This window comes from Homo sapiens, chromosome 1 (genome assembly GCF_000001405.40).
Source record: "Homo sapiens chromosome 1, GRCh38.p14 Primary Assembly".
NCBI classification, from domain to species: Eukaryota; Metazoa; Chordata; class Mammalia; order Primates; family Hominidae; genus Homo; species Homo sapiens.
In genome coordinates, this window is record NC_000001.11 from 160,316,130 (window position 1) to 160,330,387 (window position 14,258).

At 38.8% G+C, this 14,258-nt stretch overlaps 1 protein-coding gene and 1 pseudogene across 3 annotated transcripts in view; one reads left to right on the plus strand and one right to left on the minus strand.

The window, feature by feature from the left end:
• COPA (coat protein complex I subunit alpha) overlaps positions 1-14,258 on the minus strand; it is a 54,657-nt gene that overhangs the window by 27,536 nt on the left and 12,863 nt on the right. For both annotated transcript variants that reach the window (NM_004371.4, NM_001098398.2), the window contains exons 7-8: positions 9,414-9,523; positions 7,302-7,401 (exon numbers count right to left, since the gene is read on the minus strand). In NM_004371.4, coding sequence (NP_004362.2) covers positions 7,302-7,401; positions 9,414-9,523 — 210 coding nt within the window. The remainder of the gene's footprint in view (positions 1-7,301; positions 7,402-9,413; positions 9,524-14,258) is intronic.
• SUMO1P3 (SUMO1 pseudogene 3) lies at positions 1,136-2,345 on the plus strand (annotated as a pseudogene). The gene has a single exon (NR_002190.1). The product of NR_002190.1 is annotated as an SUMO1 pseudogene 3 (transcript).

A 14,258-nucleotide genomic window follows, 5' to 3' on the forward strand; every position in this document is an offset into this window, starting at 1 on the left:
TGGGTGGATCACAAGGTCAGGAGTTCGAGACCAGCCTGGCCGACATAGTGAAACCCTGTTTCTACTAAAAATACCAAAATTAGCCAGACCTGGTGGTGGATGCCTGTAATACCAGCTACTTGGGAGGCTGAGGCAGGAGAATCACTTGAACCCGGGAGGTGGAGGTTGCAGTGAGCTGAGATTGTACCATTGCACTCCAGCCTGGGTGACAGAGCAAGACCCTGTCTTGAAAAAAAAAGAAGTCAGAGGAAAAAATAAAAAGAATGAAAAGGAACAAAGACTACCTACAAGACTACAAGATACAGAAAATTGCCTCAAAAGACCAAATTTAAGAACAATTGGCTGGCGTGGTGGCTCATGCCTGTAATCATAGCACTTTGGGAGGCTGAGGTGGGCGGATCATCTAAGGTCAGGAGTTTGCAACCACCCTAACCAACATGGAGAAACCCTGTCTCTACTAAAAATACAAAATTAGCCGGGTGTGGTGGTGCATGCCTATAATCCCAGCTACTCGGGAGGCTGAGGGAGGAGAATCACTTGAACTCGGGAGGCGGAGGTCATGGTGAGCTGAGATCGCACCATTGCACTCCAGCCTGGCCAACAAGAGCAAAATTCTGTCTCAAAAAAAAAAAAAAAGAATGATTGGTTTTCAAGAGGGAGCTAAGCAAGAGCAAGCGTAGAAAGCTTATTCAAAGAAATAATTACAGAAAATTTTCCAAAACTTGAGGAAGAAATATCCAGGTACAGGAAGGCCTGAGAACACCAAACAGGTCCAACCCAAGTAAGACTACCCTAAGGCATATAAAAGTCAAACTCTCAAAAGTCAAGGACAAAGAAAGGATCCTAAAATACACAACAGAAAAGAAGCAAAGAACACACAAAGGAGCTCCAATTTGTCTGGCAATAGATGTTTCAATGCAAACCATACAGGCCAAGAGAGAGAGGAATGACATTTTCCAAGTGCTCAAAGAAAAAACCTGACATCTAAGAATACTGTACCCAGCAAGATTATTTTATTTTCCAAATATGAAGGATAGTATTTCCCATACAAACAAAAGGTGAGAATTTACCACCACCAGATCCATCTTACAGTAAGTGTTAAAAGTAGTTCTTCGATCTGAAAGAAAAAAACACTAATGTGGTAGCGGAAGTTACTGCAGCTGCGGTGTTGTGCTGTGGGGAAGGGAGAAGGATTTGTAAACCCCGGAGTGAGGTTCTGCTTACCCGAGGCCGCTGCTGTGCGGAGACCCCCGGGTGAAGCCACTGTCATCATGTCTGACCAGGAGGCAAAACCTTCAACTGAGGACTTGGGGGATAAGAAGGAAGGTGAATATATTAAACTCAAAGTCATTGGACAGGATAGCAGTGAGATTCACTTCAAAGTGAAAATGACAACACATCTCAAGAAACTCAAAGAATCATACTGTCAAAGACAGGGCGTTCCAATGAATTCATTCAGGTTTCTCTTTGAGGGTCAGAGAATTGCTGATAATCATACTCCAAAAGAACTGGGAATGGAGGAAGAAGATGTGATTGAAGTTTATCAGGAACAAATGGGGGGTCATTCAACAGTTTAGATATTCTTTTTATTTTTTTTCTTTTCCCTCAATCCTTTCTCATTTTTAAAAATAGTTCTTTTGTAATGTGGTGTTAAAAACGGAATTGAAAACTGGCACCCCATCTCTTTGAAACATCTGGTAATCTGAATTCTAGTGCTCATTATTCATTATTGTTTATTTTCATTGTGCTGATTTTTGGTGATCAAGCCTCAGTCCCCTTCATATTACCCTCTCCTTTTTAAAAATTACGTGTGCACAGAGAGCCCACCTTTTTCAGGACATTGCATTTTCAGGCTTGTGGTGATAAATAAGATTGACCAATGCAAGCGTTCATAATAACTTGCGAATTGGCCCTGATGTTCTAGCATGTGATTACTTCACTCCTGGACTGTGACTTTCAGTGGGAGATGGAAGTGTTTCAGAGAACTGAAACTGTGGAAAAATGACCTTTCCTTAACTTCAAGCTACTCTTAAATTTGAGGGTCTGGACCAAAAGAAGAGGAATATCGGGTTGAAGTCAAGATAACTGATAAGGAGAGAGTAATGACTAACTCCAAAGATGGCTTCATTGAAGAAAAGGCATTTTAAGATTTTTTAAAAATCTTGTCAGAAGATCCCAGAAAAGTTCTAATTTTCATTAGCAATTAATAAAGCTATACATGCAGAAATGAATACAACAGAACACTGCTCTTTTTGATTTTATTTGTACTTTTTGGCCTGGGATATGGGTTTTAAATGGACATTGTCTGTACCAGCTTCATTAAAATAAACAATATTTGTAAAAAAAAAAAAAAAAAAAAAAACAAAAAAAAAAAAAAAACACTAATGTGCAAAAAGAAAACTTTTCAAGATATAAAACCCAAGATGTAAAATTAAGTTCATAGACAAACCCAGAAGACTATATTACTATAATGGTGGTACACAATCCACTTATAACTTTACTATGAAGCCCAAAAGACAAATATATCAAAAGCAATAATAGCTATAGCAACATGTTAAAGAGATAGTCAAAAAGGCAGGAACAGAAATGGAGTTAAATGTATAATTTCTGAGTGTGTTTTAGCCTTTGTTTTTGTTCTTGTGTTTGTGATATAAAATAAGCTGTCATCTCTTTAAAATACCTTATTCTATCTATAAGATTTTTTTTTGTGAATCTCATGGTAATTACAGCACAAAAACTATTAATATATACTCACTAAAAATAAAAAGCATCAAATTAAGACATATTACCAAAGAAAATCACTTAACCACAAAAGAAGACAGTAAGAAAAGGAAGAGAGAAGCCTCAAAAAAAAACAAAACAAAACCAGAAAACAAGCAAAAAACAGCAGTAATAAGTCCTTGCTTATCAATAATATCACTGAATGTAAATGCTCTCAATTCTTCAATTAAAAGGCATAGAGTGGCTAAACGGATAAAGAGAGAAGACCTAACTATATGCTGCCCTCAAGAAACCCATTTACCTATACAGACACACATAGACTGAAAACGAAGGAGTGGGAGATATTCCATGAAACTGGAAACCAGAAAAGAGCAGGCGTAGCTATACTTACATGAGATAAAACAGACTACCAAACCTAAGATTGTAAAAAGAGACAAAGAAGGTCACTATATAATGATAAAGGGGTCAATTCAGCAAGAGGAAATAACAATTATAAGTATCTGTGCACCCAACACCAAAGCTCCCAAGTATATAAAGCAAACACTAATAGATCCAAAAGGAGAGGTAGACTACAATATGATAATAGTAGGAGAGCTAATACCCCACTCTCAAAAACAGACAGATCATCCATACAGTAAATCAACAAAGAAACAGTGGAGTTAAACTACATACTAGATCTAATAGGCCTAACTGCAATTTACAGAACATTTCACCCAACGGCTACAGAATATTCTTTTCATCAGCACATGGAACACTCTCCAGAATAAACTATACTTTAGGCCACAAAACAAGCTTGAAAAAATTGTAAAAAATAGAAATTATATTAAGTATCTTTTCTGAACACAATAGAACTAGAAATCAATAACAAGAGGAACCTCAGAAAATACAAACACATGTAAGTTAAACAACATGTTCCTGAAAGACTAATGGATCAATGAAGAAATTAAGAAGGAAATTTAAAAATTGCTTGAAACGAATGAAAATGGCAATACAATGTAACAAAATTTATGGGATATGACAAAAGCAGTACTAAGAATGAAGTTTATAACATAAACACCTATGTCAAAAAAAAAAAAAAAAAAAGGAAAGACTCCAAATGAACAATCTAATGATACACCTCAAGGACCTAGATAATAAAAAACAAGCCAAACCCTAAATTAGTAGAAGAAAACAAACAATAAAGATCAGAGCAGAAATAAAATTGAGACTAAAAAAAATACAGACTATCAATGAAACGAAACACTTGCTTTTTGAAAAGATAGTATCAACAAACTGTTAGCTAGACCAACTAAGGAAAAAGGAGAGAAGATCCAAATAAATAAAATCAGAAATGAGAAAGGAAACATAACAACTGAGACCTCAGAAATACAAAGAATCATTAGAAACTATTACGAGAATGACATGCCAACATACTAGAAAACTTACAAGAAATGGATATATTCCTAGACACATACAACCTACAAAGATTGAACCACGAGGCCAGGGATGGTGGCCCACGTCTGTAATCCCAGCACTTTGGGAGGTGGAGACAGGTGGATCACTTGAGGTCAGGAGTTCAAGACCAGCCTGGACAACATGGCAAAACCCTGTCTCTACTAAAAACATAAAAATTAGCTGGGTATGGTGGCACAGCCTGTAGTCCCAGCTACTTGGGAGGCTGAGGCAGGAGAATTGTTTGAACCCAGGAGGTGGAGGCTGCAGTGAGCTAAGATTGCCCTGCTGCACTCCAGCCTAGGCAACACAGCGAGACTCCAACTCAAAAAAAAAAAAAAAAAAAAAAAAGATTGAACCACGATAAAATAGAAAAACTTCTAAAAACCAGTGCCTAGATCAAAGCCTTAATAAAAATTCTCCCATCAAAGAAAAGCCCAGGACCTGACTGCTTTACTGCTGAATTCTACCAAACATTTAAAGAATTAATGCCAATCCTATTCAAACTCTTAAAAAAAAAAAAAAAAAAAAAAAAGGAAGAGGAGGGAATATTTTCAAACTCATTCTATGAGGCCAGCATTACTCTGATAACAAAACCAGGCAAGGACACCACAAAAAGAGAAAACTACAGGCCGATATCACTGATGAACATAGATGCAAAAATCCTCAACAAAATATTAGCAAACCAAATTCAATAGTATACTGATAAGATCATTTACTAAGATCAAGTGGGATTCATTTCAGGGATGCAAGAATGGTTCAATATACATCAATAAACATGATATATCACATTAACAAAATCAAAAATAAAAACCATATGATAGTTAAGCAGATGCTGAAAAAACATTGGATAAAATTCAACATCCCTTTATAACAAAAGTTATTATCAACATGGGTAGAGAAAGAGCATACCTCAAAACAATAAAGGCCATATATGATAAACTTACAACTAATATTACACTTAATGGGAAAAAATTGAAGGCCTTTTCTCTACGGACCAGAAGGCAAGGATGCCCACTTTTACCACTTTTATTCGACAAAACACTAGAAGTCCTGGCCAGGTCAAGTAGGTATGAGAAACAAATAAAGGACAAACAAATTGGAAAAATTACCCTTGTTCACAGATGACATTATCATATACTTAGAAAAACCTAAGACTCAACCAAAATGATAAATTCAGTCCAGCTGCGGGATACAAAATCAACATACAAAAATCAGTAGCATGACCAGGTGCAGTGGCTCATGCCTATAAACCCAGCACTTTGGGAGGCCAAGGTGGGCAGATCACTTGAGGTCAAGAGTTCGAGACCAGCTTGGCCAACATGGTGAAACCTCGTCTCTAAAAAAAGTACAAAAATTAGCCAGGTGTGGTGGTGTGCACCTGTAGTCCCAGCTACTCGAGACGCTGAAGTATGAGAATCACTTGAACCTGGGAGGGGGAGGTTTCAGTAAGCCAAGATCGAGCCACTGTACTCCAGCCTGGGCAATAGAGCGAGATCCTGTCTCAAAATATCAGTAGCATTTATATATGCCAATAGTGAATAATCTGAAAAAAAATCAAGAAATCCCATTTATAGTAACTACAAAAAATATAAAATGCCCAGGAATCACTCTAACCAAAGAAGTGAAAGGGCCATACAAGGAAAACTATAAAACTCTGATGAAAAAAGTTGAAGAGGACCCCCAAAAATGGAAAGATAGTCCATGCTTGTGGGTTGAAAGAATATTGTAAAAATGATAGGGTAAATTACTACCTAAAGTAATTTACAGATTTATTGTATTCCCCATCAAAATATCAAAGACATTCTTCACAGAAACAGAAAAAAAATCCTAAAATTTATATGGCAGCACAAAAGACCCCAAATAGCCAAAGCAATTCTGAGCAAAAAGAACAAAGATGGAGGCATCACACTACCTGACTTCAAAATTTGCTACAAAGCTAGAGTAACCAAAACACTGTGGTACTGGCACAGAAACAGACACATAAACCAATGGAACAGAACAGAGGACCCAGATATAAATCCACAAATCTATAGCTAACTCATGTTTAACAAAGGTGCCAAGAACATACAATAAAGTGTTGGGAAAACTGGGTAACTATATGCAGAAGAATGAAACTCCTATCTCTCACCACACACAAAAATCAAATCAAAAAAGGATTAAAGACTTAAATCTAAGACCAGAAACTATGAAACTACTAGAAGAAAACATTGGGGAAATGTCCCAGGACATTGTCTGGGCAAAATGCTCATCAATAATTATCAGAGAAATGCAAATCAATGTGTCCTTAACACAGAGGCTGAAATATATATACATATATATAGAAAAAAAGACATGCGAATCAAATCCACAATGAGATATCATTTCACCACAGGTAAAATGGCTTGTATCAAAAAGACAGGCAATAACAGATGCTGGCAAGGGTATGGAGAAAGGGGAACCCTCCTGCACTGTTGGTGGGAATGTAAATTAGTATAGTCACAATGGAGAATAGTATGGAGGTTCCTCAAAAAACTAAAAATAGAACTAACATATTATCCAGCAATTCCACTACTGGCTATATATCCAAATAAAGGAAATAAATATATCAAAGCGGTATCTGCATCCCCATGTTTGTTTATTGCAGCACTATTTACAATAGCCAAAATACGGAATCAACTTAAGTGCTCATCAAGGGATGAATAAAGAAAATTACATACGCGCACGTGCACACACACACACACACACACACACACAATGGAATATTATTCAGCTATAAAAAAGAATGAAATCCTGTTATTTGCAGCAAAATGGATGGAACTGGAGGCCATTATGTTAAGGGAAGAACAAAGAGACAAATATGGCATGTTCTCACTCACATGTGGAAGCTAAAAAGTGGATATTATTAAGATCGAGAGTAGAATGGGAAGGAGGGTGAAGGAGGAAATGGAGGAAAACAGAATATAAATATATTTATTACCACTTAACTGTACACATAAAAATTGTAAAGATGATATATTTTATTTGTAAAATAATTTCTATGCTCCTGGGATTAGCATTAATTAATCACCTAAGGTAGAAAAATAGGTCAGAGTCCAGAAGACCTGGCTACTTTACCTTGCTGGCTGGCAGTTTCTTAGATATGGCGATAATGTAACCGGTTCACTCACCATTCATGCGCCAGATCTTCACTTGACGATCATCTGCCCCAGATACAATAAGGGGCATAGTGGGGTGGAAGGCAGCCCAGTTTACTCCACGATCGTGACCCTGTAGAAAAGAGTGGTTCTTCTAAAACATCTTTATAGTCATTACTCAAAGCAAACCAATGAATCAAGCTACTCGTTGTAAAAAATGTCTCTGATTTATTCTTCATGTGAACAGATTCAAGAGACTACGCTGCTCTAAAATTTTGAGCATCAGAATTACCATGTCTGTCCTCCAATATTACCCCAAATTCTCATGTGAATTTCCAAATACATATTTCTAACCCCTAAACTCAGCCTCATTTGCATTTAGGATATTCTGCTTTGTTTTTTACTTGCCTATTTTTATCTTATTTCTACAAATAATTATTAATATCTCCAGACAAATTTTATTTTTTATTTTTTATTGTTTTTAGACGGAGTCTCGCTCTGTCACCCAGGCTGGAGTGCAGTGGCACGATCTCAGCTCACTGCAACCTCTGCCTCCCGGGTTCAAGTAATTCTCTGCCTCAGCCTCCCAAGTAGCTGGGATTACAGGCACCCACCACCATACCCGGCTAATTTTTTTGTATTTTTAGTAGAGATGGGGTTTCACCATCTTGGCCAGGCTGGTCTTGAACTCCCGGCCTCATGATTCACTTGCCTCGGCCTCCCACAGTGCTGGGATTACAGGCGTGAGCCACTGCGCCCGCCCGAAAACTTTTATAACTTAATGCAGAAATCTCAGTCTGGTCTTGAAGGAGCTCCAAGATTATTTTAAGAAGTTTGCAAGGTAAAAACTATTTTCATAATATTACTAAGACTTTGTCTTCTTCATTCTTTTTTTTTTTTTTTTTTTTTTTAAGATGAGGTCTTGCTGTGTCATCCAGGCTGGAGTGTAGTGGTGCAATCATATTAATTGCTCCCTGAAGTCTCAAACTTCCAGGATCAAGTGATTCTCCTACCTCGGCCTCCCAAAGGACTACAAGTGAGCACCACCACGCCCAGCTAATTTTTTTTTTTTTTTTTTTTGGTAGAGACAAGGTCTTGCTATGTTGCCTAGGCTGGTTTCAAACTCCTGGCCTCAAGTAATCCTCTGGCCTCGGTCTCCCAAAGTGCTGAGATTACAGGTGTGACCCACTGCACCCAGCCTATTTATCTTCTTCATTCTTATTCTTTCGTAAGTATACAATAGAGTTTCCCAGCACATGATATGTGATATCATCGCTCTGACAGCTAATAGAATGTGTGCTGATATATTTCATGTTTTTAAAAGTTGTTTTAATCTAAAATGTGGTAAAAAATTGACAGATATAACCCACATAAACAAAAACTCTTTGGGGTCCTCAATAAATTTTAAGAGTATAAAGAGATCTTCAGACCAAAAAGTTTAAGAACTGCTGATTTTAAGATACTGTATACCCTATTTATACAGTTATATGGTATATTGTGACAGAATCCTGGATAAGGCAGTTTTGAATTAGCAGTATTATTGAGATGTATCATGATGCAGCGAAAAGCACCTGGGTTTTGGAGTCAGATCGAAATTCAAATCTTATTTCTTACATTTATTTACTAGATATATGTAGATTTTGGTAGACCACTTAATTTCTCTAAATCTCTTTTTTTTTTTTGTCTGCTAAATAGGGATAATAATATCTACTTCAGTGGGTAGCTATGAAGATTAGATAATTTTTTAGAACAAAAACTAGTTTCTTTCCCTTATGCTTTTCTGTTTTCCCACCTGCACAAAAGTTACACATGGCTGGTTCTCGATAACTCCGATTAAATTTCCTGCTGCCCTGCCTTACAGAAAGCTTGAGAATGGGCTCTGCTTTGGGATGGTGATGAGGTCTACGCCTGGCTTTCTCCCTTTCCCACTGGGTTTATAAGGTAATAAGACTCTCCCTCAGGTGGCACATAAGCTTCATTTCTCTGTTGGTTCACGCACAATTTGATTTCTAGTACCTCAAACAGTGCCTGGCACTTAATAAGCACTCTGTAAATATTTGTTGAAGGAATGAATAAATGAACAACATACTGTGACTTTCCCAAGATGACAGCCCATATTCAGCCCCTGGCTATAAAGATAAGTACCTCTAGTACATGCTTCACCACTGCATCTGTAGTTCCAAATAGATCAACCCCAGTTATTCCTCTCACATCCGATTCCACCGCACCAGGGGACAGGTTTTTTTTCCTCAGACCTTTGAAGGGATAAGGAGTGGGATGAAAGATGTAAACATAATATTATCTAAAACAGCACAGTATCAGAAACACAGAAATTACAGTGAAAAAGAAAAGAAAAAGAAATGGAAAAGACTGAAGAAAGAAAAGAGACTCAAGAATTCCTATTTCTAAAAATGTTCAAAATATTGAAGTACATTCACCGTCTTCTCTTCTGCTCCCTTAACACTTAAACAGATCCATTACTGGAATTTCTTTCTAGAGGAGGGTAACCCAAATTTCTGGCACACTTTAACCTCTTCTTCCACAAATCTTACCTCAAGAGGTGTCTGCTTCAGTTAATGCCCACTTTCCATTCTTCAGTGTTCTTGAAATGTGGCCCCAAATGGTAAACATTCAATTTCTACTCTCAACTTCATAAAATTTATAGCAGCTTTTCCCCGATCATTTCAGAAATTTTTTTCTTTTTTTTAAAGAATAGTCAAGTGCAGTAGTGAGAATGGGGAAAAGAGTGGAACAAGGAGTTCAATCTGTAACTGACTGTGAACAATCAACTGAGATAACTCACTATCTTCGGACTAGGCTCAAGAAATTTTAAAGGAAAGCCATTTGAGGTTGGCGTGGTGGTTCACGCCTATAATCCTAGCACTTTGGGAGGCTAAGGCAGGTGGATCGCTTGAGCCCAAGAGTTAAAGATCAGCCTGAGCAACATGGCAAAACCCCGTCTCTCCAAAAAATATAAAAATTAGCTAGGTGCAGTGGCGCGAGCCTGTAGTCCCAGCTACTTGGGAGGCTGAGAGATAGGGGGATGGCTTGAGCCCAGGAAGTCGAGGCTGCAGTGAGCCATGATGGCGCCACTGCACTCCAGCCTGGGTGACATTGAGACCCTATCTCAAAAAAGAAAAGCCATTTGAAGAAGCCACAGTGCAGTGTTTCTCAACTTGAAGCCTTTCGACAGCTGATGGGGGAAGTTCCAAATGGGTTACAGAAACTAGGCCTATTAAGTACAAAACAGCTGTTTGGTAGAAGATAACGTAAAACCATAAGCCATGTAAAAAGTGTACTCATGCCTACTACTTGACTCTTGGACGAAGAACAAGATAATTAAAACTGTCATGTCATTTTAAGTTCCTGCTTAAAAGGCTGATTATAGATTTGAATACTTGGATTTTGCCATTAAAACCTTTGGAGGCTAGTTTTACTGGGAGGAATTATCCTGTAACTTAAAAACGATGGAAAAAGACACCAGAATAATAATAGTCTTATTTGTAGAGGACCCACATATATGGCTCAAGTAAATCTATCTTTAAAAGCTATTTGTGCTATAGTCAGAACCAAAATTATGATAGCACTGCTACTATCTCACATTCGGAAAGTACTTTGTGGTTTTCAGAGAGTATGTTATGTAACTGGACTCTGATAACAAACCTTTGGAATGAACAAGCAGGTAAAATTATAACAGTTTGTAGATGAGAAAAAAAGAATTGAGACTAAAATCCTATATTTTGAAGTATTTTGGGGGAATAGTGGAAGATGAAATTACCTAGCACTTGTAAATATTTTTTAAAAAGACAGTTATGTGTAATGGAAAATAAAAACTCTCATTGAAAATAAAACCTAAAGGCTGGGCGCAGTGGCTCACGCCTGTAATCCTAGCACTTTGGGAGGCTGAGACAGGTGAACCACCGCAGGTCAGGAGTTTGAGGTCTGCCTGGCTAACATGGCAAAACCCCGTCTCTACTAAACATACAAAAATTAGTCGGGCATGACGGCGCATGCCTGTAATCCCAGCTGCTAGGGAGGCTGAGGCAGGGGAATTGCTTGAACCCGGGGGGCGGGGCTGGGGGGGGCGCAGCGCGGAGGTTGCAGTGAGCCAAGATTGCACCACTTTACTCCAGCCTGGGCGAAAGAACGAAACTCCGTCTCAAATTAAAAAAAAAGGAGGCTGGGCACGGTGGCTCACACCTGTAATCCCAGCACTTTGGGAGGCCAAGGCAGGTGGAACAACTGAGGTCAGGAGTTTGAGACCAGCCTGGCTCAAATGGTGAAACCCTGTCTCTACTAAAAATACAAAAATTAGCTGGGTGTGGTGGTGCATGCCTGTAATCCCAGCTACCTGGGAGGCTGAGGCAGGAGAATCACTTGAACCCGGGAGACGGAGGCTGCGATGAGCTGAGATCCCGCCACTGCACTCCAGCCTGGGCAACAGAGTGAAACTCCGTCTCAAAAAAAGGAAAGAAAACCTAAGTCATTTTAAGCCTAAACTTTGCCATCTGTAGGAAAATATAAGAACTTAAGTTTAATAACTGCATTTATATTTATTGTTTTAAAATTATAATATATCTCTTCTGTTATGGTGGCACCTACATGTTAACACTGGAGAAGCAAGAGCTTAGAAGGCCACAACAATTTTAATTATCTTGTCCTCTGTCCAAGATGAGCATTTAGCCAGTAGGTAGAGAGAAATAAAGCTGATGTTTTACAATATACTCTCCCAAAGGCTCATAAATACTTTATCGCTGGGATGCCTCCTTTCACTTATTTCACTTGTCCCTTTAATAAGATCTGTCAACTTTTTCTAACGAGTCTGGTATATGAAACAGATTCAAAGGAAAATACAAAGATAGACAGCTGTGAGAAACTTCACCTCCAATAAGCTTCAACAAACACATTAAAAGGAAAGCCGTATGACAGAATGGAAGGCTTTGTTGCATTTGCGTGTAATGATCCGGGAAAAGGGGAAGGGCAAAAACAGACAGATGAATGGTGACAGGCAGTGAAAAGATACTCAGAGAAGAAATATTTGAGCCTTCAACAAGCCGCTCGCTAGGACTGAACGACAGATGGAAAATTTCTACAGCAGCTACCCAAATCCAGAGGGAGGAGAGGACACTCTCAGAATGGACCAGTTTGATGCACACCTCCCAATACGGACCAGGGAAAGCAGGAAAAAGAGAGGGATGATAACAGGATTTGGCAGCAAATTAATACTTTTTTAGTAGCCTTTTCAGAGACTGAGCCTGAATTACATGGGCTTGACATGCAAAGGTATAAGCATATTAAAATAATTTAACTGTCAGTTTACTTAGAAGCTCAAGTTAAGAAAGTAACCTTTTATATGTAGGTTTGTAAATACATTCCCTTTTAAACAAATAGTTTTTGCCAGGGTAACACAAAAGATTCAGGTTAAGCTAAGCCCTGTGGGGTTCAATCCCTATGGGAGAGGTACCAAGAGATAGGTTTTCCTTTAAAGATCTCTATATTCTCTTACTGCTTAACTAACTCAGAGAGTGTCCCTTTCAAAAAAAAATAGTCAAAAAAATTAGAACTAGTCCTCTAAATTTGGGAGTATTCATACTCTCATTCAGAACTAACTTCTCCCTTTCAGAAATATAAGCACTGGTCTTTAACAGATCGGAAAGCTAATTCCTCTTCCTGTTTTCAGACTTATTTGAACCCAATAGCAAAAAAGAACCCTGCTGAAAAAGAATATGCTGATTTCTAGAGAAGGAAAGTATAAAAGTCTAACCCAAAAGCTTCTTGCACTTTGTTAAATACCAAAGCATCTCCTTCCACTCTGGTTAAGGGGTTACTGGAAGTCAAGAGTTGTGGGTAAAGAACAACACTTAGAAATGGTAAAAAGAGCATTAACATTAGTACAGCAAGCTAGCACAAAATTCTTACTATCACATAAATAAAGTATAGCAATTGCAAGGTTATTACATAGTAATCCATGCACTTCACACATTCAAGAGCAAGTATAAACCCCATGGGGTCACACTCCCTCTCTTCTCTGATCTAGGGCCCTTAATTTTGATGTAAAAATGTTCTCTGTCTGCAAAAGGTAAAGAAAAGTATTTCATGCCTTGAGCATTTCATGACCACCAAGAATCCAACCACCTGACTGCCCCCAAACTGCATTGGCTAGACTGCAGGGAACATGCAAGGCTGGCATCAGGTGGCACAAACATTACTTTTACAGTGGAGCCCTTCTCAACCCGGCGTTCTGGAAAAGAATTAAGTTTTAATGCCCGAAAGGCATCAGTTTAGGTATGTAACAAATTCTCTATGAACTAGAATAGCATTAGCTATATACCATTCTTAGAAGAACTACGAAAACAGCCACTGAAAGTACTTTCTATAGCACTTAATTCTCTCACAGAATCCAGGTTGACAAAGGATATTCTGAATAATTGCCGGCCAGGGGCAGTGGCTCGTGCTTGTAATCCCAGCACTTTGGGAGGCTGAGGCAGCTGGATCACTTGAGGTCAGGAGTTCGAGACTAGCCTGGCCAAAATAGTGAAACCCTGTCTCTACTAAAAACACACAAAAATTAGCTGGGCATGGTGGCATGCCCTTGTAGTCCCAGCTACTTGGAAGACTGAGGCAGGATAATTGCTTGAACCCAGGAGGTGGAGGTTGTAGTGAGCTGAGATCATGCCACTGCACTCCAGCCTGGGTAACAGTGAGACTCTGTCCCCACCGCCACCCCCCCCAAAAAAAAATTGCCCCTGATCAGCTGGAATAGCATGAATTGGGATCCAAGCCCATCAGGCTCCTATATCCTGAGACAGAGAGAGTGCTTTGAATGTGTGCACAGTGAAAAACCATGGAAAGCCATAGCAAGGTTACTGGGAGAGTAGATGCTAAGCTCCCTGGTACTGGCAGTGAGGAGAGGACACAGGTTCACAGTGCCTGTGTCTAGCTCCTCCTGTTGGCATGGCTGGTCACATCTGGGTGTACTTCAAAAAACCT